This window comes from Homo sapiens, chromosome 12 (assembly GCF_000001405.40).
Source record: "Homo sapiens chromosome 12, GRCh38.p14 Primary Assembly".
NCBI lineage: Eukaryota > Metazoa > Chordata > Mammalia > Primates > Hominidae > Homo > Homo sapiens.
Genome location: NC_000012.12, coordinates 57,116,284 through 57,136,774, shown reverse-complemented (window position 1 = coordinate 57,136,774; position 20,491 = coordinate 57,116,284). Strand labels below are relative to the sequence as shown.

General features: G+C 50.6%; 1 protein-coding gene across 1 annotated transcript in view, besides 4 other annotated features; it reads right to left on the bottom strand.

Moving 5' to 3' along the window:
* The window catches only part of LRP1 (LDL receptor related protein 1), an 84,879-nt gene extending 76,587 nt beyond the window's left edge, over nucleotides 1–8,292 (bottom strand). Inside the window, exon 1 of the mRNA NM_002332.3 lies at nucleotides 7,744–8,292. Coding sequence (NP_002323.2) covers nucleotides 7,744–7,810 — 67 coding nt within the window. The 5' untranslated portion in view covers nucleotides 7,811–8,292. The remainder of the gene's footprint in view (nucleotides 1–7,743) is intronic.
* Nucleotides 2,478–3,233: an enhancer, noted in NCBI's record as "H3K27ac-H3K4me1 hESC enhancer chr12:57527325-57528080 (GRCh37/hg19 assembly coordinates)". NCBI's record gives its function as "activates a minimal SCP1, AML or CMV promoter by ChIP-STARR-seq in naive H9 embryonic stem cells {active_cell/tissue: H9 hESC(naive)}" and the evidence as "EXISTENCE:reporter gene assay evidence [ECO:0000049][PMID:30033119]".
* Nucleotides 5,381–5,550: an enhancer, noted in NCBI's record as "experimental_29738 CRE fragment used in MPRA reporter constructs". NCBI's record gives its function as "activates a minimal promoter by MPRAs in K562 erythroleukemia cells, with activity observed for both the introgressed and non-introgressed 12:57525093 variant alleles {active_cell/tissue: K562}" and the evidence as "EXISTENCE:reporter gene assay evidence [ECO:0000049][PMID:34662402]".
* Nucleotides 8,632–9,285: an enhancer, noted in NCBI's record as "H3K27ac-H3K4me1 hESC enhancer chr12:57521273-57521926 (GRCh37/hg19 assembly coordinates)". NCBI's record gives its function as "activates a minimal SCP1, AML or CMV promoter by ChIP-STARR-seq in naive H9 embryonic stem cells {active_cell/tissue: H9 hESC(naive)}" and the evidence as "EXISTENCE:reporter gene assay evidence [ECO:0000049][PMID:30033119]".
* Nucleotides 17,637–17,826: an enhancer, noted in NCBI's record as "active region_6527". NCBI's record gives its function as "activates an Ori minimal core promoter by ATAC-STARR-seq in GM12878 lymphoblastoid cells {active_cell/tissue: GM12878}" and the evidence as "EXISTENCE:reporter gene assay evidence [ECO:0000049][PMID:35858748]".

Here is a 20,491-nt window from a genome sequence, read left to right as displayed (position 1 = left end):
AACCAGCTAAGCTGACTCCAAGCTCTGAACCAGTGAAATCCACACCAGTCCTCCGAATTCCCACTCCTCCCAACCTCTATCACCACATCCTCCACAGGAGGAACAGTCACCCACCCCTTCTCCCCCACCCAAGGCTGAGCTCCCAGTCTCCTGGCCTTTCGTGGCTTTTCCTCAGACTGTGCCATCACATTTCTATTCTGCTGGCACACACTGAAGGCCAGCTCTATGCCAGGCACTGCACTAGGCATCAGGGTGCCAAGGAGGGTGAGATGACCCTCTGCCCTGCAGGAGCCAGAGTCGCCTGAGAAGACAGCTGTACCCAACTAATGCAAATGCAGGGCAGAGACAGAAGTATAAGGAAAATGGCGGGGGGGGGGGGCTCTTAGGAGGGAGGGAGTCTGATGGGAGCCTCACTGAGATGTCTTCCCTCCTAACCCCCACCGCTGGCAGGGGAGACGGCACTCAGGCCCCTGGCCAAAATGACCGAGTTCAGGAAACACATCAAGGATGGCCTAGCCAGGCTCCCCCTTCAGCCTCCCTCCCCTGGCCCCCACCCTGAGCCTGGAATAAAGGCCCCTTGAGGAGGTGGATAATGCTGAGTTCATTGCCCCACTGGGCCAGCTGTGAGGTCTTCCCGGGAAACACAGCCCGCCAGCCTAGTTAGCATGCCGGAGAACCGTCCGCTTCCCCTGACCAGCCGTGGCCGGCTGAGGGGGAAGAGGGGGGCTGGAATGGGACTCAGAGGCAGATGAGATGTTTGGAGCCCAGAAACAGACCCCCGTGCCACCCACCTGGGACTTGGTCCATGCCCTGCTCCTCCCAGGGGCAGAGCGCACAGCCACGGCCTGAGGTCACCGGGTGGTCACCTAACCTCCCCTCCATTCCACATCCCAGCCATGGTGCCCCCTCCTTTAGCCCTCACTGAGTCCCCCCCGCTGTCCCCCACCCCCATTTTTGGCCTGAACTCCACAGAGGAAACAGCAGCTGGCAAACTCCAAAAGCTGGAATGAGAGAGATTCACAAACCAGATGTGCTCTTGCAGGGAGGGGATGGGGGATGGGACAAGTGAAAGGAAGAGGAGGGCCCAGGCCCCTATCCCACAGCAGCACCGGGGGAGGGGGCCACATCTCCCGAGGGCCTGGCCAGCACAAGGATTGCAGAGAGATACGTGAAAGAACTTCCTGTCAGGGCTGGTGTTGAAGGGCCCAGGAATCTGGAGCGAGAAGGCTGAGGCCTGTCTTTGATTTCCTTCAGGGGGAGAGGGAAGAAAGAAACAAATAAACTACTTTGGGACAGTCTACACAGCCAAGGGAAGCCTCACTCAGAGCTGGGAGAGAGCTGAGTTGGGAGCGGGGTAGGACCCTTATAATCTGCTTAGAGGGAAAGCCAACCCCACTCCCCTCAGCAGAGCCTTCTGTGTCTGAATCCAGCACCCAGAAAACCCACCTTTGTGGCCTGCAGTTTAGATGAGAGAACAACATTGCCCTAAGGTCAAAAGCAACTAAGGCCTTCCCCGCCTCCTGGCCCGCATGAGAGAACCCGGAGGTCTCCCTGACCGATGGGAGCTAACCTTTTTCACCTTGCTAACCACCAGCCACTGATTGGAAATACGGTGACTATTAACTCACTTAGATACTATAACCCTGTGAGGTGGGTGCCCTTGCGGCCCCCCTCTCACACATGGGGGAGCTGAGGCACAGGGTGACTGGTAACTGAGCAGGTGGTTTCCTCATAGGTCATGGGATGCAGCCGGGTTAAGAAAGGAAACCAGGCCGGGCATGGTGGCTCATGCCTGTAATCCCAGTACTTTGGGAGGCCGAAGCAGGCAGATCATGATGTCAGGAGATCGAGACCATCCTGGCTAACGCGGTGAAACCCCGTCTCTACTAAAAATATGAAAAATTAGCTGGGCGTGGTGGCAGGCGCCTGTAGTCCCAGCTACTCAGGAGGCTGAGGCAGGAGAATGGCGTGAACCAGGGGAGGCGGAGCTTGCAGTGAACTGAGATCGCGCCACTGCACTCCAGCCTGGGCAACAGAGCGAGATTCCATCTCAAAAGAAAAAAAAAAGAAAGAAAGAAAGGAAACCAGATGGGCGCAGTGGCTCCCGTCTGTAGTACCAGCACTTTGGGAGGTGGAGGCGGAGATGGGCGGATCACTTGAGGTCAAGAGTTTGAGACCAGCCTGGGCAACATGGTGAAACCCTGTCTCTACTAAAAATACAAAAATTAGCAGGAGGCGGAGGTCGCAGTGAGCAGAGATCACGCCATTGCATTTCAGTCTGGGTGATGGAGTGAGACTGTGTCTCAAAAACAAAACAAAACAAAAACAAAAAACAAGGAAGGGAAATTGCAGGGAGAACGCTGTCGTTCTCTGGCCCTGGCAGTGGGGAGAGGATTTTAAGGGGTGGCCTTCAGGGCTCCTCAGAGAGGAGGGAAGGGCATAGGGGAGACAGAGAGGAGCAAGAATGGGACAGAAGAAGGGGAAGACAGGCAGGAGAAGAAGAAGGAGAGATCTAGAGAGGAAGGAGAGAGAGCGAGTTTGGAGGAAGAACACCAGGACACAGGGGCCGTCTGTTCTCGGCTTTGCCTGAAGATGAATGTGACTGCCATGCTAACTTGGCCAACACCCTGCCCCACCCCCCCAAACCCAGGCACCCAGCCCAGCCACGGTCCCCAGGGCCACCAAGCTGGAGCCAGGGCAGGAGGTGTAGAGTTGGGTGTGCGTCCAGACACAACACAGACCCCACTGCCCTGCTTGACCCTTGGCTGTCATTCTGTGTCCCATTCTGGGACCTTGGGGGTGGGGAAGTGGGGTGAGAATGCCTGGCCAGAGAGGGTGACAGCGAAGTCCAACCCTGAAGGAGTCTTCTCCAGAGGAGGGGAACCCATCCTTTGATACCCCCTTGAGGGAGCGAGAGCAAGGAAGAGAGCTAAGACCTTAGAGGTGCTTCTTAAAGGACAAGGAGACTCAGGGACTGCAAAAGCATGACAGGGACTCTTGGGGCCCTTTTTAAGAGTGGACACAGCAGAAGGAGAGATAGGCTCCCCTCTGAGCTAGGTGAGAGGGGGGTTCTCTAAAGGGAACCACATGATATAGCTAAGGGAACAGAGTGGGAGGAGGATGCTCAAGGTGCGGGGGGTGGGGTGGGGGGGCGGCGCGGGGACAGAGCCTGCAGGAATCTGAATTTTCGACCTTATGGGGGTGGGGCAGCAAGGGCCTCCCAAACCCAAACCGAGAGGTTTTCACTGAATTTTTTGTATTTTGGGTGTTGCCCAGTGGCTCTTTCCTGAGGCTCAGACACATTTTTGTCATTCCTGAGTCTGGGCCTCTGCTTTGCGGCCTGGACAGACAGACAGACAGGGTGGCTTGGACAGCCAGGGGAGGGGAAGGGTCTCCGCTTCCATTCTGAGTCAATATTGATGCAGCAGGACATTAGCCTGACCCGTGACCTCCCCCACCAGCTTTTCCTTTCCCCACAAATAAAAGCCAGACCCCCAGAAGGCCTCCAGAGGTCACCATATCACTCACCAGGCATTTCTAAGCCTCCTCTCCTTCTCCCCCCACCCCAGCCACACACACAGCTTATGCTCACCAGAGTAAAAGCTCCAAGTTCTTGACTCACTCCTTACATCTTTCTCCAGTTCTTAGGCTCCTGGTCAGGAGGAAGTTCTGCCAGAAGTCTAACCTCCCTCCTTCCTTCTGAAATACCTCCTTTCTCCCTCTTAGCCCACAAAGGGTATCAAGTTCCTTTCTTCCAGAAACATTCTCTCCAAAACCCATTCCCCAAATTAGTGGAGGGGGAAGAAGAAAGAGGAAGTCGGAGGAAAGTGGAGAGGAAACTTTTGGTGCTGAACTGGACACTGGGTCTGGCCAGGAAGGGGGAAAAATAGCCAAAACAGAGGGGAGGGAGCCAGGGGGTGAGTGGGAAAGCCCAGAGAGACTCTTGCTCCCAAGAAGCTTTTGGGATACCAAGAGGCCTGGATGGGGGTAAATGGAGACAGGCAGAGAAAAATAAGACAAGTGACAGAGACGCAGAAAGCAGGGCAGAGAATGTCACAAAGGTTCGGCAGTAAGAGATGAACTGAGAGGGTGAGAGACAGAGAGGTTCTAAAAAGCCAAGACAGCGCACACTAATGACAGACAGACAGAAAGACAGACAGACAGCCAGAAAAGCCAGGAAGGGGGCTCAGTCCAGAGATTGCCAAGGGGATGACACAGTTGTCCTGGGATGAACCCAGAGAATGACTACCCCGCTGAGCCTAGAGTAGGGTGGGAGCAAGATCTGTCCTATCTTGGAGAGACAGAGTCTCGGCCCTAGGCAGTGCCTGACTCAAGGGAGACCCAGAATAGGGACCACTACCACCCCTGGAGTCAGGAGGGTAGAAAGGAGGGAGGAAAATGGAGCTCTTCAGCCAGGGAAGCTAAGGCCTGGTGGGAGAGGGAGAGGCTTTCATCTCCCCTAGGGGAGCAAGAGGGACAACTCTCCACATATACCCCTCACCTCTTTCCCAGGGAGGGTTTATATTGGTGCCTGAGGCCATTGCACCGGAAACACTCCAAAGCCAACTGCTTCCTTCTCCAAACAATGCAGGATCCTGCTAACCAGGCTGAAATCTGGGACAGAAGAGGGAGGCAGGTTCTCTATCGCTCATACCCAGCACTACCAAGTCAGGGGCCTTCCTGCAGTACCATTCAGCTGCACCCAGATGCCCCAAGAGCAATGAGCCCACACGCAGAGCTGGAGGACCTGAAAGGTAAAGAGTCTGAGGAGTGAGGAGGACCCTGAGAAGAGAGTACTGGGCGGGAATAAACCTAGGCTTGGGGGTTCTGATGTGCAAGGGCTCACACTGCAGCAGGAGGAAAGAGAGATAGACTTGAGTAAGGAAGGGCTTCCCAAAAGGTAAGGAAGGGGTTTTGAAGAATGGGGGCATCTGGACAGGAACTGACTCTGGCCAGGACCTGGGCTGTCATCCTTTGGGAGGCTCAGTGGTGGAAGGGTGGTTGAGAAAATGAAGAGAGGAGAGAGAACAAGATCAGAAGAAAAAGATGTCTAGTGAAGCAGCCCTAAACATCAAAATATCCCTCCAACCCCAAAATGAATTTCTTACACATTCTTGCTTTAAAAGACAACGAGGCAAAGGGAGACGTTTAGGATGTGAGTCTGATCAGGGAGAAAGGAGTTTAGAACTTTCTCTCAGGGATCCAGGAAGCTAACACCCCAGCTTCATAACTCACTTCCACTGTACCTACTCTAGTAACTGGTAATATGCCGGCTCAAGGGGGTGTGTGGAGGAAGGTCAGGAAAAAGGGAGGGAGGAAGTCAGCCTTATTCTGTGAGCTGTATTTGTCTGGGGGTGCCCTCCCCACTAGAAAATGTTCCCCAATCTCAGCAGGGCCCTCAATAGTCCCATTCTCCACCCCATCTTTCTGCAACCTCTCCAGCAGCAGGTACACTCAATTTTGTCGCTAGTGGGGAGTGACGTTACTCCCCAAAGGGCAGGGGACCCCAGAGGCAGTTTCAGGCATAGAAGAGAAAGCAGAAGAGGTGGGAAAGCCCCTAGGATTGCTGCCCTGGAGAGAAAGCAGCAAGGCTGTGATAGCAGGAGGAAGGTAACATACTAAGTCAGGTGAGCTGGGTCATCTCCATTCTCTGGAAAGTAAACAAGAAAGTTCAATGTTGATGGACCCTGAGGCAAGAGGGCAGGGGTTAGGGATAAGGGATCCCCTAGGCTGCCTCTGGATAGAGTTGAACTTACATTTCTATGCAATTCCCCTTTCTCACCACCCTGTACCCAAGAGTGGGGTGGAGCTGATTATTTATATTCCCACTCCCAAGGCAGAAATATTGGTGTGTGTTTGGGGAGGGGTCCTCTCCTGGGGCTTTGGATAGTTTGATCTGAGCTGGAGATACAGAGGGGGCGTGGGTGAACATTTTAAGAAAGGGTAGGGAGATAGTTAAGGAGAACATGTCCAGTCTCTCTCTTCCACTAACTTGGTGTGGCAAATAGAACTCCTTTAGAGCCCTGGGAGTGATGCTATCTGGGGTCCCTTCCTGACCTTCCCTGCTCTCCACAGAAACCCTCTTGCTTCTGCCTAACTCTAGCCACCCTCCTTCAAGGGGCTCCTGATGGGTCTCTCTCTCTCTCAAATTTTTTTTCTATTCCTCCCAGAAGCGGCTGCAACCCCAATCTCCCTGCCTCGATTTCCCTTCTCACCTCACAGGGCTGAGAACAAGAGAAAAACACATGATAATGACAGGAGTTATAGGCAGAAGCCGGCTGTGCGGCATCTGGAGGATATTCAGGAAAAGCCCCTCTCCTCCTCCGGGGCAGCTAATTGGTGGGGTGGGGGTGGGGGGTAGAGAGTCCCCAAGATGGCACAACTGAGGGACACTAAATATGTTTTTTGGGGACACAGCTGCTTCCTGACCCTGTAAGTCTCCTCCCCCAATTGAAGCAAGTTAGGGAGAGGGAGGGAGATAATCTGGTTTCAGAGAAAAACTTTCCCAATCCCAATCTGGCAAGACAGAGGAGGGGGTGTATGATGGTATCCAGCCCAGTTTTGTCTTTGGATGAGAGGGCTAAGATGACAGGAGGGGATGAGATCCCACCCCTTCTCAAATCAGGGACCTAGCCCAGCCCAACCCCATGACCCCAGCTTAATGCTTAAAGCTTGGGCAAGACTTGAACCAGTGACTCACAAGTAGGAGAAAAAAACAGCTGACAAAAAAAGGGAAGAGAGGCACCCCATTTCCCCAAAAGGATGCAGTTCTAGCCTAAGCCTAACTCTGCAATATACAAAGTGTGTGTGTATGGGGTTTTGGGCTTGGAGGGGTGCAGGGAATAAACAGATTTACTAAAGGAGTGTGGGGGCACAGCCATAATCCCCATCCAACCTCCAACTCTCCTTCCAATCCAAACTGTGATGAAGCCAGAAGTCAGGAAGAAGGCAGCCTCCCCCACCCTCCTACCCCAGCATTCCAGGCCATTCTCCAGTCCCCTTCCCCAGTGATGACATCTGACGTTTTTTCATCTCAAAGCTCCCAGGAATTAAGAAGGAAAATTCAAAGTCACATAGTATGGCGAGCTCCCCCTCTCTGCCCCCCAACACAGCCCTACCCCAGGCTACTGACAGAGGCCCTGAGAGGGGGAAGAGCCTACTTCAGCACCCAGGCCTCCAGCCGGGGCTCTGGGGTCGATTCCACGCCCAAGCAGGGGGCCCTCCCTCTCCCCACCCACAGCCTTCCCGGGCCTGCCTGCCCTCTGCCCGGCAGGGTACCCCTGGCCTGGCTCCCCTTTCGAGCTACAGAGGCCAGTGCAAAAGCCACCCCCCCCACCCCCACCCCCTTTTGCAGCCGAACATTGCAAATCCGGATTCCTTCACAATTCAGATGGGGGGTGGGGGGTTGTGAGGATGTAGGGGAGGCGGAGGCCCTCCCCGAACAGAGATAGGAAAAGAAGGCCTCTCCTCCCCAGGATCAGAAAAATGGGGAGCCCTCTTCTCTCTACCCAGGCCTCTGGTCTTTGTTTGTGCTGGGGGGCCCCGGAAGCATCATTTGCCCAGGGCCCCCATCCCCCAAATCGGACCCCATCCCCGCCCCCAGTCGGGCCGCTGCTGTGTCAGCTGGACTGGGATAACAAAAGGCACCCCCTCCCGCGTCTCCCTTCCCCATCCGTATGCAGGAGTGGGGGCTGGGGAGAGGGTGCCCCCAGGGGTCCAAGGGGGACGCGGAATCTCACTCACCGTCGATAGCCGCCGCGACCAGAGCTGAGAGCAGGGGCAGCAGCAGGAGCAACGGCGGGGTCAGCATGGTGTGGGCTGATGCAAGCAGCAGCCCCTTCCCCTCTGGTCCTGCTACTTCTCTCCTTCACCCCCCCCAGTTGGGGGGTCCCCCTTTTCCTCCTTTCCCCCTCCTCCTTCTCTGTTCTTATTCTTTCCTTCGGCAAAGCGCACCAGGGGCGTGGGTGAAGAGGTAGAGTTCCGAGCCCCTTGGGGAGGGCCTGCTGACGGGGGTGCGCCCCCTGCCCCGAAATCCAAACCCTTCACCCCACCCCCCCGCTTCACTCCTCGCTGCTCTTTCCCCCTCCCCGGGCGAAGCTCACAGCCCCATCTCGGAGCCGCCTCCGGCTGCAAAAATGCACAATTGGGAGGAGGCGGGGAGGGGGGGTGGGGGGCGTGGACCGGGTAGGGGAGCCTTTGGAGGGGGCTTGATGGAGCTCTGGGGGCTCCCCTTGTTTCCGCCTCCTCAGTGCATGGGCCTGGAGCTCGCACCGCTGTTCCCCGGACTGAAGTGCCGAGGGGGGGGCTGATGGGGGAGAGGGAGGGGACGGGTTGAGGAGGGAGGGAGGGAAGGGGCGGGGAAAGAAAAAAGGTTGGTGGGTGGGGGGAGAAAGAGCTACGCGGCAATCCAGTGAGTGCGCATGCGCCGATTTGACGCGCTGCCCGGGGGAGGGCGACGCGGACCCGCGACAGGGTTCGGAGTTCTGGAAAGCGGTCCAAGAGTGAGGGTCCCGGGGACTCGCTGGCTAGTTTGGGGCCTGGGGCGCCCTCTCCCCTGGCTGGGCCCTCCTCCCTGGTGCTCCAGAGAGCAGAAGGGGTCGAGGGTGGGATTGGGCAGTGGGCGGAGAGCTGAGCGGCTCCCCTTTGAAACTCAGTGTCATACTCTAGGATTTCAGGCTCCCTCCGGGGGCGTCCGGGACTCAGTGGTCTGGGCCGAGGCTCGATTTTCTAGGGGAACCCTGAAGGTGCCTCCTCTGCCCGGGGTGGGGACAGGGACCGCCAGTCCGCGGGGAAGGTGCAGGGAAAGGCTGAGCTTTGATTTGGAGACTTTGGAAGACCGGACTGGGATTGGGGCCTGCGAAGGAGGGGGCGGGGTTGGGGAGGGACCGCGAGGACCCGCCCCCACCTCGCTCCCGGGCTCGGAGTAAACAGGGACACCCGAGGGGACACGCCGGAGCTTGTCCGCCCGCGTGGGGCTCGGGGATGGAGCCCACCTTAGTACCCGCCCGCCCTGCTCGCCCAGCCCTAGGCGCGGGAGGGGCAGGCCCTGGTTTGGAGGGAGGTGAGTCACCAGCGGGTGGGGTTGAGGAAAGGCCACCCCCTTTCGCCCAAGAAGTCGGGGCTCATTTATTTTTCTGTTTTTTTTTTTTTTTTTTTTTTTAATACCTTCTGACTGGCTTGCCATCAAGTTAGGGTTTTAGATTCCGAGCGCCAGGATTTGGAATAAGATGAGGGACTCTGGACCTTCGTTTCCAGGCCTCGGGTTCCAAGGAGGTGTCTGCTGAGCGCCGGACCTTTGTCCCCAGGCTCAGCCCACACGGGAATGATACTTTGCAGAAGGCAGGCGCCAGGCGGTTCCCAGGGGCCAGTGAACGTGCTTTTGGTCACTGCCCCCTTCTGGGCGGCGTTTTATGGCTGTTACCTTAGTGTCTGACTTTCTAGGTGTCTGCATGTCAGAGTTCAAGGAGCGGGGCAGACGACGTCGGCTGCCAAAAATTGACGCTGGAGAGGAGGGACTGTTCCCCCTTTTACGTTCTAGTTACGGAAAAGTCCCCACTCCAGTCTGTCCTTGGCAGAAACAGGAGCAGCACGAAGGACTTGCCTCCTAATGACAGTGAGCTCAACCTTTAGCTTCTTCCAGCCGGCTTTGCTCAGCGCGGTGGCCACCTGCCTTTAGTCTCCTGGGCTAGAAACCTCAGACTTTATGCCAACTCAAGGGGGCCTTTCCTTCCTATATCCAATCTTGCCAGCCTGTGCTCCAGGCTTGTCATTTTTTTCCTCTGAAGTATATCTCAGATTTCCTCCATTTCCACTGCCAGAGAGTTGCTCCAGGCAGGAACGGGGTCTTATTTCTCCTTTTATCCAGCTCCCATGGCCCAACACAATGTGAGACGCACTATGCGGACTCACCAAATGCCTACGAGGTTCCTCCCAGGGCCCCTCCCAGTATTGGGATCCAAGTGAAATCAGGTCGAAACAGACTTTAGACAGCTTGACAGCTTTGAGAGGAAAACGGTATCTGGAGCAACCACATGTAGCCTGAGGGCTTGAAGGGGCTTTCCTCCCTCCCCCTACCCATCTGTCAGGTGAATCTTCCAAAAACTGCTTTCCCGGTGTCTCTTCCTTGCTGGGGAACCTCTAGTGGGTGTCTATAGACCAGTCAAATGTGAACTCCTCTTCAGTCATGGCTTTCCAAAACCTGGCCTCAGTCAGCATGCACTTCTCACTTGCAACCTCCCATCCCCTGCTGTCTCCTGAATGTGAATGTGTATTTTTATTAACTTTATATTGTTAAAAAAAAAAGAAAGAAAGAAAAGATAATACCTAGTGGTTAAAAAAAGTACAGGAAGGTAAAAAGTAAAAGGAAACTTGATGCTCTCCACACCCCCATTTTTCAGCTGCACCCTCAGAGTAACTTCTACTAACAGTTCTTCAGGTCTCCCCTACCAGCAGAGGTTTCCCCCCCGCCCAAGACGGAGTCTTGCCCCGTTGCCCAGGTTGGAGTGCAGTGGCCTAATCTCGGCTCACTACAACCTCTGCCTCCCGGGTTCGGCGATTCTTCTGCCTTGACCTCCCAAGTAGCTGGGATTACAGGCACACGCCACTATACCCAGCTAATTTTTTTTGTATTTTTGGTAGAGATGGGGTTTCACGATGTTGGCTAGGCTGGTCTCGAACTTCTGACCACGTGATCTGGCCTCCTCAGCCTCCCAAAGTGCTGGGATTACAGGCGTGAGCCACCGTGCCCGGCCAGGAGAGTTTTTAAAACAGTAACATACAGGCCAGGCGTGGTGGCTCATGCCTGTAATCCCAACACTTTGGGAGACGAAGGTGGGAGGATCACTTTTCAGGAGTTCGAGACCACACTGGCCAACATGGCGGAACCCCATATCTACTAAAAATACAAAAATGAGCCACGTATCGTGACGCATACCTGTAATCCCAGCTACTGGGGAGGCTGAGGCACGAGAATCGCTTGAACCCAGGAGGTGGAGGTTGTGGTGAGCCGAGATCGTGCCACTGCACTCCAGCCTGAGCAACAGAGGGAGACCCTGTCTCAAATAAATAAATAAATAAAACAGTAACATACAAATATAAGTGAATATCCTTTAAAACTATAAAGAAACTCATATGATATATAGTGTTCTGTAACTTGCCTTTTTTTCAATTAACTTAGCTTGATCCCTTTCCATACCGTATGAACGCATTTAGCTCACCCTTTGATCTTGGCTACTTGGAATCTCCTTGCTTGGATGTTCCACAGTTTGTTGGGATTGTTGGGCACTTGGGTTATTTCCAGCAGGTGAACTGCTGAGGGTATGTCTGTAAGGTGAGAGAATGCATATTTATGTCTTTCTTTCTTTCTTTCTTTCTTTTTTTTTTTTGAGATGGAGTTGCACTCTTGTTGCCCAGGCTGGAGTGCAGTGGTGTGATCTCAGCTCACTGCAACCTCCACCTCCCAGGTTCAAGCGATTCTCCTGCCTCAGCCTCCCGAATAGTTGAGATTACAGGCACCCACCACCATGCCTGGCTCATTTTTGTGTTTTTAGTAGAGATGGGATTTCTCCATGTTGGCCAGGCTGGTCTTAAACTCCTGACCTCAGGTGATCCATGCACCTTGGCCTCCCAAAGTGCTGTGATTACAGGTGTGAGCCACCTCACCCTGCTGAGAATGCATATTTCTATCTGAGCCATTAATGATACAGTTCCCCTGCTCCTCTACCCTCCTCAGAAAAGCCCTCCTGTTATTCTCGCTCTGCCTATCTCTCCTGTTCCAAACTTGTATTCAGGAAAGCTTCAGTATCCAGAGTTTAGCACTTTATTTTGTGGGCTCTGTATCCACCACTAGACTATATACTCCTTGAGGGCAGGGACCATGTCTTTTTCTTCTTCGTTTCCACCCAGCGTGAGAGGCTCTTGATTGGTGAAAGGAATGTTAGGACTAGAGTTGCCTTTCCTGGAACAGGATGTGACTTCAAGCATCTTCTTCCCTCTATTTCTCTTATAGCATTCATTGTTTAATCCTCTCTGCCTCAGTGCCTTCTCTTCCTCCCCACATCTGTTCTTAAGAGGCATCTTCAAATCCTTGGGTTGAGATTATAACCATAATAGTAGGGAATCATGGAGGAATTCTCTGAAATTCATGATTGATACCTGGAATGGTGATGAGGGCAAAGAAGCTAGTGTGGGTAAAGGGCATCTCTTTTTTCGGGTCGCTCAGCAAATTACAAAATACCCGCCTTTTCTGAGTATAGCAGGGCCTGGGCTGGGGCGTTAATTGGGTAGCTCTGGAACTGAATGTCAAGCCAGAGGCTAGCACCACCTAGTGGTCAGTTAAGGAAGTGTGCGTAGGAAGGGTATCCCGGAAAGGTCTGATGGCAGGCGGAGAGAGGGAAAAGGACCAGTATTTATTGAGCGCATACCATGTCCCAGGCCCACGCAGTGGACTTTATTTACAGTATCAGCTCACTTAAGTCTACCTTTTGTCATGGGTGTTATTTCCAGTGTGTATAAGAAAATAGAATGTTCTGAGAGATTAAAGAATCTGTCCCAAATAATGGTGCAGATCCAAGCCCAGATTTCATTCACTTAATAAAAATATTAGGTACCTCGTATAAGCAAGTACATTGCTAGGCACTAGGGATAAGAGACGGAAACACACAGTCTCAGCCTTCAAGAAGCTTTCAGGTTAGCTGGGTGCTCAACAAGAGACAGACAATGACAATACAGTCAGTTCCTTAACACCTGTGATGAAGGCATGTGCAGAAGGGCATGGGAACATGGGAAGGATACCTCTTCCAGACAAGGTGGTCAAGACAGAGAGCAGCAGATGATGCCAGGCTAAATGTTGAATGAGAGGAAGAAAATGACAACCAATAACAAAAGGAAAGGGTGTTTTAGGCTGGATGGCAGGAAAGGCATTGGAGGCATGAGAAGTTTAAAACATGTGAAGAACATCAAATATGGTATCATAGCTGAAGTTTAAGGTACTTTGAGGGGAGAGTGTTGGATGAAGTATCAGAAAGCCTAATCACAAAGCGTGATTTTAGCCACAGTAAGGACTTAGAATTTTTTTTCTAGAAGTAGTGTAGAGCCAGTTGAGAAATTGGTGAAGTCCTTAATGCATGAGTGATGGAGCTGGAGAGGAAGAGGATTCAGAAACAATAAAGAAGTAGGATCTAGTATACTAACCAGTTAACTGTATAGGCCTGAAGATAGTGACAGAGAAATCTGAGTCTAGAAAATTTGGCTCACATTAGAATCACCTGGAGAGTTTTTAAAAATCCCAGTGCTGTGGTGGCATGCATCTGTAGGCCCAGCTACTCAGGAGACTAAGGTGGGAGGATTGCTTGAGCTCAGGAGGTTGAGGCTGCAGTGAACCTGATCACTGCATGATCATGCCACTGCACTCCAGCCTGGGTAACAGAGTGCAACCCTGTCTCAAAAAGAAAAATAAATGAATCAATGCTGGAGGATTTATGCTACTTGATTTCAAGACTTGTAAGTGACAGTAATCAAGACTATGTGGTGCTAGCATGAGAATTGACAAACAGATCCATGGAGCAGAATAGAGAACCAGAAATAGACTCACAATCATTTGATTTTTTAATAAAAATTCTATATGCGTTTATTATTTTATAATGTTACTTTTATATACTTTTATCTTGGAATTATTTTTCGTTTGATTAGTTTTCTATGCATCTATCATTTTCCCCAAATATCTCAACATAATTTTAAAAAATCAGATAGTTGTTTGATTTCTTATTGCAATTCCTTTGTGTTTACCACCCCTCCACCCTGCTCATCCCTATCTCACCCTGTGCAACTTCTGCATTCTTGCTTCAATGTTGACTAGGCACAGGCTTCGTTTTTCTTTTTGAGACAGAGTTTTGCTCTGTTGCCCAGTCTGGAGTGCAGTGGTATGATCATAGCTCACTGCAGCCTCAACCTCCTGGGCTTAAACTATTTTCCCCTGTCAACTTCCCAAGTAGCTGGGACTACAGACACATGCCACCATGCCTGGCTTCAGCATCCATTCTTAAACTCCTTTTCACCATTGATCTGGGATTTTACTCTTAGCTGGAACCTGTCTGAGACCCGACTATTGGAGGTCTCTTACTGCTGGAGGATGGTATCTCTGGGAAAGGCCCACTCCCAGACCCAGGAATGTAGGATCCATCTCAGTGCAGCTTTTCTCAGCTCTCTACTTGTCTGGGGTACCACACTTCTCAACCGGATTCTGTACTTCTCATAAAGGTATTTTGATCAGTAAATTGTTAAATCTGTGTTTCTGTGAGGGGATGAGAGGCGGGACTTCGTATTGCACCAACTGGCTGATCCCACTGTAAAGGTCATTTGATTTTGGCAAAGATGTCAAAGCCAGCCAGTGGAGAAAGGAATGTCTGTTCAATAAATAGTTATGGAACAACTTCATATCTATATGGGAGAAATAAATGAACCTTGACCCCTACCTCACACCATATGCAAAAATTAATTCAAGATTGATTATAGGCTGGGCCCAGTGGCTCACACCTGTAATCCCAGCACTTTGGGAGGCTGAAGCAGTTGAATCACCAGAGGTCAGGAGTTCAAGACCAGCCTGCCCAACATGGTGAAACTCTGTTTCTACTAAAAATACACAATTAACAGGCCAGGCATGGTGGCTCACACCTGTAATCTCAGCACTTTGGGAGGACAAGGCGGGTGGATCATCTGAGCTCAGTTCAAGACCAGCCTGGCCAACATGGCAAAACACTGTCTCTACTAAAAATACAAAAATTAGCTGGGCATGGTGGTGCATGCCTGTAATCCTAGCTACTCAGGAGGCTGAGGCAGGATAATCGCTTGAACCTGAGAGGCGGAGGTTGCAGTGAGCTGAGATCACACCACTGCACTCCAGCCTGAGTGACAGCGAGACTCTGTGTCAAAAAAATTAATTAATTAAAAAAATAAAAATACAAAAATTAGCTGGGTGTGGTGGTGGGCACCTGTAATCCCAGCTACTCAAGAGGCTGAGGCAGGAGAATTGCTTGAACCCAGGAGGTGGAGGGTGGAGTGAGCCGAGATCGCGCCACTGCACTCCAGCCTGGGTGACAGAGCGAGACTCCGTCTAAAAAAAAAGATTGATTATAGACCTAAACCACAAATGCTAAAATCATAAAGCTTTTAGACAAAAACACAGAATATCTTCATAATTTGGAGGAAAGCAACCCCTTCTTAAGCTATAGAAAGCAATAACATAAATTTCTTGATAAGTGAAACATCAAAATAGAAAACTTTTGCTCGTCAGAAGACATCATTATGGAGTAATCCCAGCACTTTGGGAGGCTGACATAGAAGAACTGCTTGAGGCCAGGAGTTTGAGACCAGCCTGGCCAACAAAGCTAGACTCTGTCACTACAAAAAATTTAAAAAATTAGCCGAGTGTGATGGTGTGCACCTGTAGTCCCAGCTACTCCAGAGGCTGAGAAGAGAGGATTGCTTGAGCCCAGGAGTTAGAGGCTGCAGTGAGTTGATTGTGCCACTGCACTCCAGCCTGAGTGACAGTGAGACCCTGACTCAAAAAAAAAAGACATTATTATGAAAATGTGGAAGTAAGCCAAATAGATAGACAAAACATTGATCTGAGAAGGGACAGAGGAATGCGAGATATATTAAAAATTCCTATAACATAGTAATAAAATGACAACCCAATGAATGGACAATAAGCATATGAAAGGTACTCGAGGCTAGGTGCAGTGGTGCACGCCTGTAATCCCAGCACTTTGGGAGGCCAAGGTGGGAGGATCGCTTGAGGTCAGCAGTTTCAGACCAGCCTAGGCAATATATCGAGACCTCATCTCTACAAAAAGTCCGGGCGTGGTGACTCACGCCTGTAATCCCAGCACCTTGGAAGGCCGAGGCGGGCGGATCACGAGGTCAGGAGTTCAAGACCAGCCTGGCCAATGTGGCCATACCCTGTCTCTACTAAAAATACAAAAATTAGCTGAGCATGGTGGTGGGCACCTGTAATCCCAGCTACTTGGGAGGTTGAGGCAGGAGAATCACTTGAACCCAGGAGGCAGAGGTTGCAGTGAGCTGAGATTGTGCCATTGCACTCCAGCCTGGGCAACAAGAGCAAGACTCCATCTCAAAATAAATAAATAAATAAAATTTAAAAATGATCTAGATATGGAGGTGCATTCCTGCAGTCCTAGCTACTCAAAAGGCTGAGGCAGGAGGATTGCTTGAGCCTAGAAGGTTGAGGCTGCAGTGAGCAGTGATTGTGCCACTGTGCTCCAGCCTGGGCAACAGAGTGAGACCCTGTCTCAAAAATAAAAAGAAAAAAGAAAAAGAAAAGAACTCAACATCTTTAGTTATTAAGAAAATGCAAATTATGCCAGGCACGGTGGCTCACGCCTGTAATCCCAGCACTTTGGGAGGACGAGGCAGGAGGATCACAAGGTCAAGAGATCTAGACCATCCTGGCTAACATGGTGAAACCCTGTCTCTACTAAAAATACAAAAAATTAGCTGGGCGTGGTGGCGGGCGCCTGTGGTCCCAGCTACTCGGGAGGCTGAGGCAGAAGAATGGCATGAACCCAGGAGGTGGAGCTTGCGGTGAGCCGAGATCGTGCCACTGCACTCCAGCCTGGGTGACAGAGCAAGACTCCGTCTCAAAAAAAAAAAAAAAAAAAAGGAAATTATATCCATAGTGTGATACCTCTCAATACTCACCAAAATGATTAAACTTTAAAAAACTGACAATACCAAATGTTAGTGGGAATACAGAGCAACTGGAACTCTCATACATCATTAGTGGGAATGTAAAATGTACTATCAATTTGGAACAATATGTAGCAGTTTCTTATAAAACTACACATACACCTACCCTGTGACTCAGCAATTCTATTCCTAGTTATTTATCCAAGAGAAATGAAAGCATATGTTCACACACAGACTTGAACACAGAATATTCATAGCAGTTTTCTTCACAGTAGCCAAAAGCTGGCTATAGCTCAGGTATCCTTCATTTGAAAAAGGATAAACAAACTGTGGTATAGATCCACCATGGGACACTACTCAGCAAGAAAAATGAAAGAACTATGGATACATGCAGCAACATGGATGAACCTCAAAACATGTTGCGTAAAATAAGCCAGACATAAAACTACATCCTATATTACTCTACTTAAAAAAAAAAATCAGAACAGTGGCTTCCCCTGTGGGTTGGGGTGAGGGTAATGATCCACATCTTGATAGAAGTTTGGGTATTACAAAGCAACCACCTGGTAGGGCAGAGATTTGAACACAGGTGGTCTGCCAGCGGCCAAGGTTTTAATCACCATACTACATAGCCTTGCCCAGGCTGTGGAGCCTCAGATGTGGATGAGATCACACAGAAAGAGTGTCCCGTGAAGACAGGAGACTGAGAGGGAGGACGCAGAGAGGTAGGCCGAAGACCAAGAAAGGAATCATGAAAAGTAGTTGGGGGAGAACTTACTCAAGAATGGCTAACAGTGTTGAGTACTGCTGAAAGGCCCAGCAAGAGAAAGACAGGAATGTGCCATCATTCAAGGCCCCTAGGAGGGTGTATGTGACATGGGCCAGGACAGTTTCATGACTGGTGGGGGCAGCAGCCAGCTGGCAGTGTAATGAGGAAGTAAGGAAGAGAAGACTGAATATGAATAATTTTCCCAAGATGCTTGGCTGCACAGGGGAAGGGAGAGAGGCAAGACAGTAATTAGAGAACTGAGATTTCCTTGCAGAGGCACAATCCTGACCACAGCTGACTCCATCCAGAGCTGCTTGACTTTGCCCATTCACCAGGATGGCTAACTTGTCCTTCTGTGAAGTAAAGGTCGGTTGGCCACAGTAAGCCTCTGACAGCCTGAGGGCTCCATTTGAAGCCTTGAGATCAGCTGACTCCACCATTGCTCACATCCTGTCATCCTTGGCAGGCCTTGATTGGCATCCATCCTTCTCCACTAAGTCCAGTCCTTCCTCCTCCTAACACTGTTATACTGCTCTCCACCCATCTCCTTGCTTGAAGCCTGGGGCCACCCCTGGCTCACATTATCCTGGCCCCTCTTGGCTTGTCTGGAACCTGATCCTTCCTTGAGAACATTCCTCCTTTAATGAGGTATCGCTTATTCTCTCAAGTGTATAGGGCGGGTGGTAGTGGGAGGATGGGCAGGCAGCCCACCCTGGAGTCTCCATTTCCTGTGGCGATATAGCTTCACCATGGTCTTAGTTAGGGATGCATTTAGCAGCAAGTAATGGAAGACCCAATTAAAGCAGGCTCAACAATGAGGAGTTTTATAGCAGGTCCAGGGCTGGTTGATTCATCAAAGGTTTTCCACCTCTTCACACTCATACTTTATCCTCATTGGTTGGTGGTATCTCCCCTCCCAGTTGCAACGTGGTTGCAGCTATTCCAATCCTAAAAGTGAACATGGCACTGAAGAAGAACAAAATCTTTCCCAGAAGCCCCCTAAGTCCTATTGGCCAGGATTGGGTCACTGGCCAAGGGAATAGAAATACTGTGATTGGCTATGCCAATTAGATTCACCCCGTGAATACATAGGAGGGGGACACCTGTGTGAAATCCAGACTTTGCTAGCAAGGGAGAAAAGCTTGGCTGCTGAATAGGCACCACCAGTGCTTGCCTCAGTAGTCACATCAAATTCCTCTTCCTTTAAGAGCCAACTATTTCACCTTCCATTGGGATGTGCAACATAGGGCTTAAGGGCAACATTTCTGGTGCCAAACTAACTGGATTTGAATCCCAGCTCTCTCACCTTAGCCTTGAGCAAGTTGCTGAGTTTTCCATGCCAGTTTCCTCATTTGTAAAATGAGGGTTATCAGCACTATCCAATAGAATTTTCTGTGATGATGGAAATGCCCCGTGTCTGTTTTAATATAGTAGCCACAAGTCATACATGGCTATTGCACATTTGAAATGTGGCTGATACATCAGAGGCATTGAATTTTAAAATTGAAATAGCCACAAGTGGTTAGTAGCTACTGTAGTGGGCACATAGTTCTAGCTCATAGTATTATTGTAGGATAAAAAGTACAGTGCTTCAATTTTAGAGTAAGAATTGAAGTAACACATAAAGCCCCACTAAGTGTTAGTTATTATTTTTGCTGTTATCCACTGATGTCCTGGTCACTTTATCCGTGAAGTCTTTGTTTATTTTATTTTATTTTAATTTTTTTGAGACAGGCTCTCACTCTGTTGCCCAGGCTGGAGTGCAGTGGTGCAATTATGGCTCACTGCAGCCTTGACATCCTGGGCTCAGGGATCCTCCCACCTCAGCCTCCCCAGTGGCTGGAACTATAGGCATGCACCACCACACCAGGCTAATTTTTGTATTTTTTCGAGAGACGGCATTTCACCATGTTGCCCAGGCTGGTCTCAAACTCCTGGCCTCAAGCAGTCTGCCCACCTCAGCCTCCCAGAGTGCTGGGATTACAGGCATGAGCCACCACGCCTGGCCTTCTGTGAAGACTTTAGCAGCTGACTGTCTTCCTGTCCACCTCAAGTTTTCCACAAACCCAGATGGTTTCAGTGCTCCGGCAGGTAGTCCAGCCAACACCCTGGCCTCTTGGTTCCTTGTTCTCTTTGACTCCAATGACTTACCTCTGTGTTGCTGTAGCCACTCACTCTCATAGCCACCACCTTTATCACACCCTTGCAGGAGAGCTGGACTGAAATCTCACTCCCTAGATTCTGACCGCAACATCCTAGCCTTACAGCTCTTCTTTCCCTTGCCCCCGGGAAGCCTGGTCTTTAAGTCTGTTGAGACTTCCAGTTTCTTGCCTTTCTTTCCTTTGACACTGGCCCCTCATGTCTTCACTTTTCTTCCTAACCAGTCTCCATTCCACAATGCTTCACCTCTGCTCTTCAACTGTGTCGTCTCCCTCTCTGTTGTTATTAACCTTCTGAATGGATCTCCTGGCTTCAGAACTTATCTTTTAAATCCATCCTCCACATTGCAGCTAGGCTGATCCCTCTACTAAATCTTATCATATGACTCACCTGTCTAAATCTTCTAATGCTCCGCATTGCCCATTACTACCCATTCCCAGAAGGTACCATGCTCCCACAGGTATCCATGCCTTTGCATATGCTAGACCTTCTTCCTGCTTTAATGCTTTCCTTGTTCTTTGCCTGAATAATTCTTATGTCCCTTCAAGATTCATTTCAGGCTGGGCACGGTGGCTCACGCCTGTAATCCCGAAACTTTGGGAGGTCGAGGCAGGAAGATCACTTGAGTTCAGGAGTTTGAGAGCCTGGACAACATATTGAGACCCTGTTCTATGAGAGAGAGAGAGAGAGGAGAGAGAGAGAGAGGAGAGAGAGAAGGATTCGAACATGCTTTATGCTGAAAGTATAGAGCTGTCATAACTACAGAGCAGGAGGGTGGAGATTTGAAGAATGAAGGGGATAATAAATTGAACAAGTGCCTGAAGAGGCAGAAGGGAGGGGCCTTGAGCACAGGTGTTT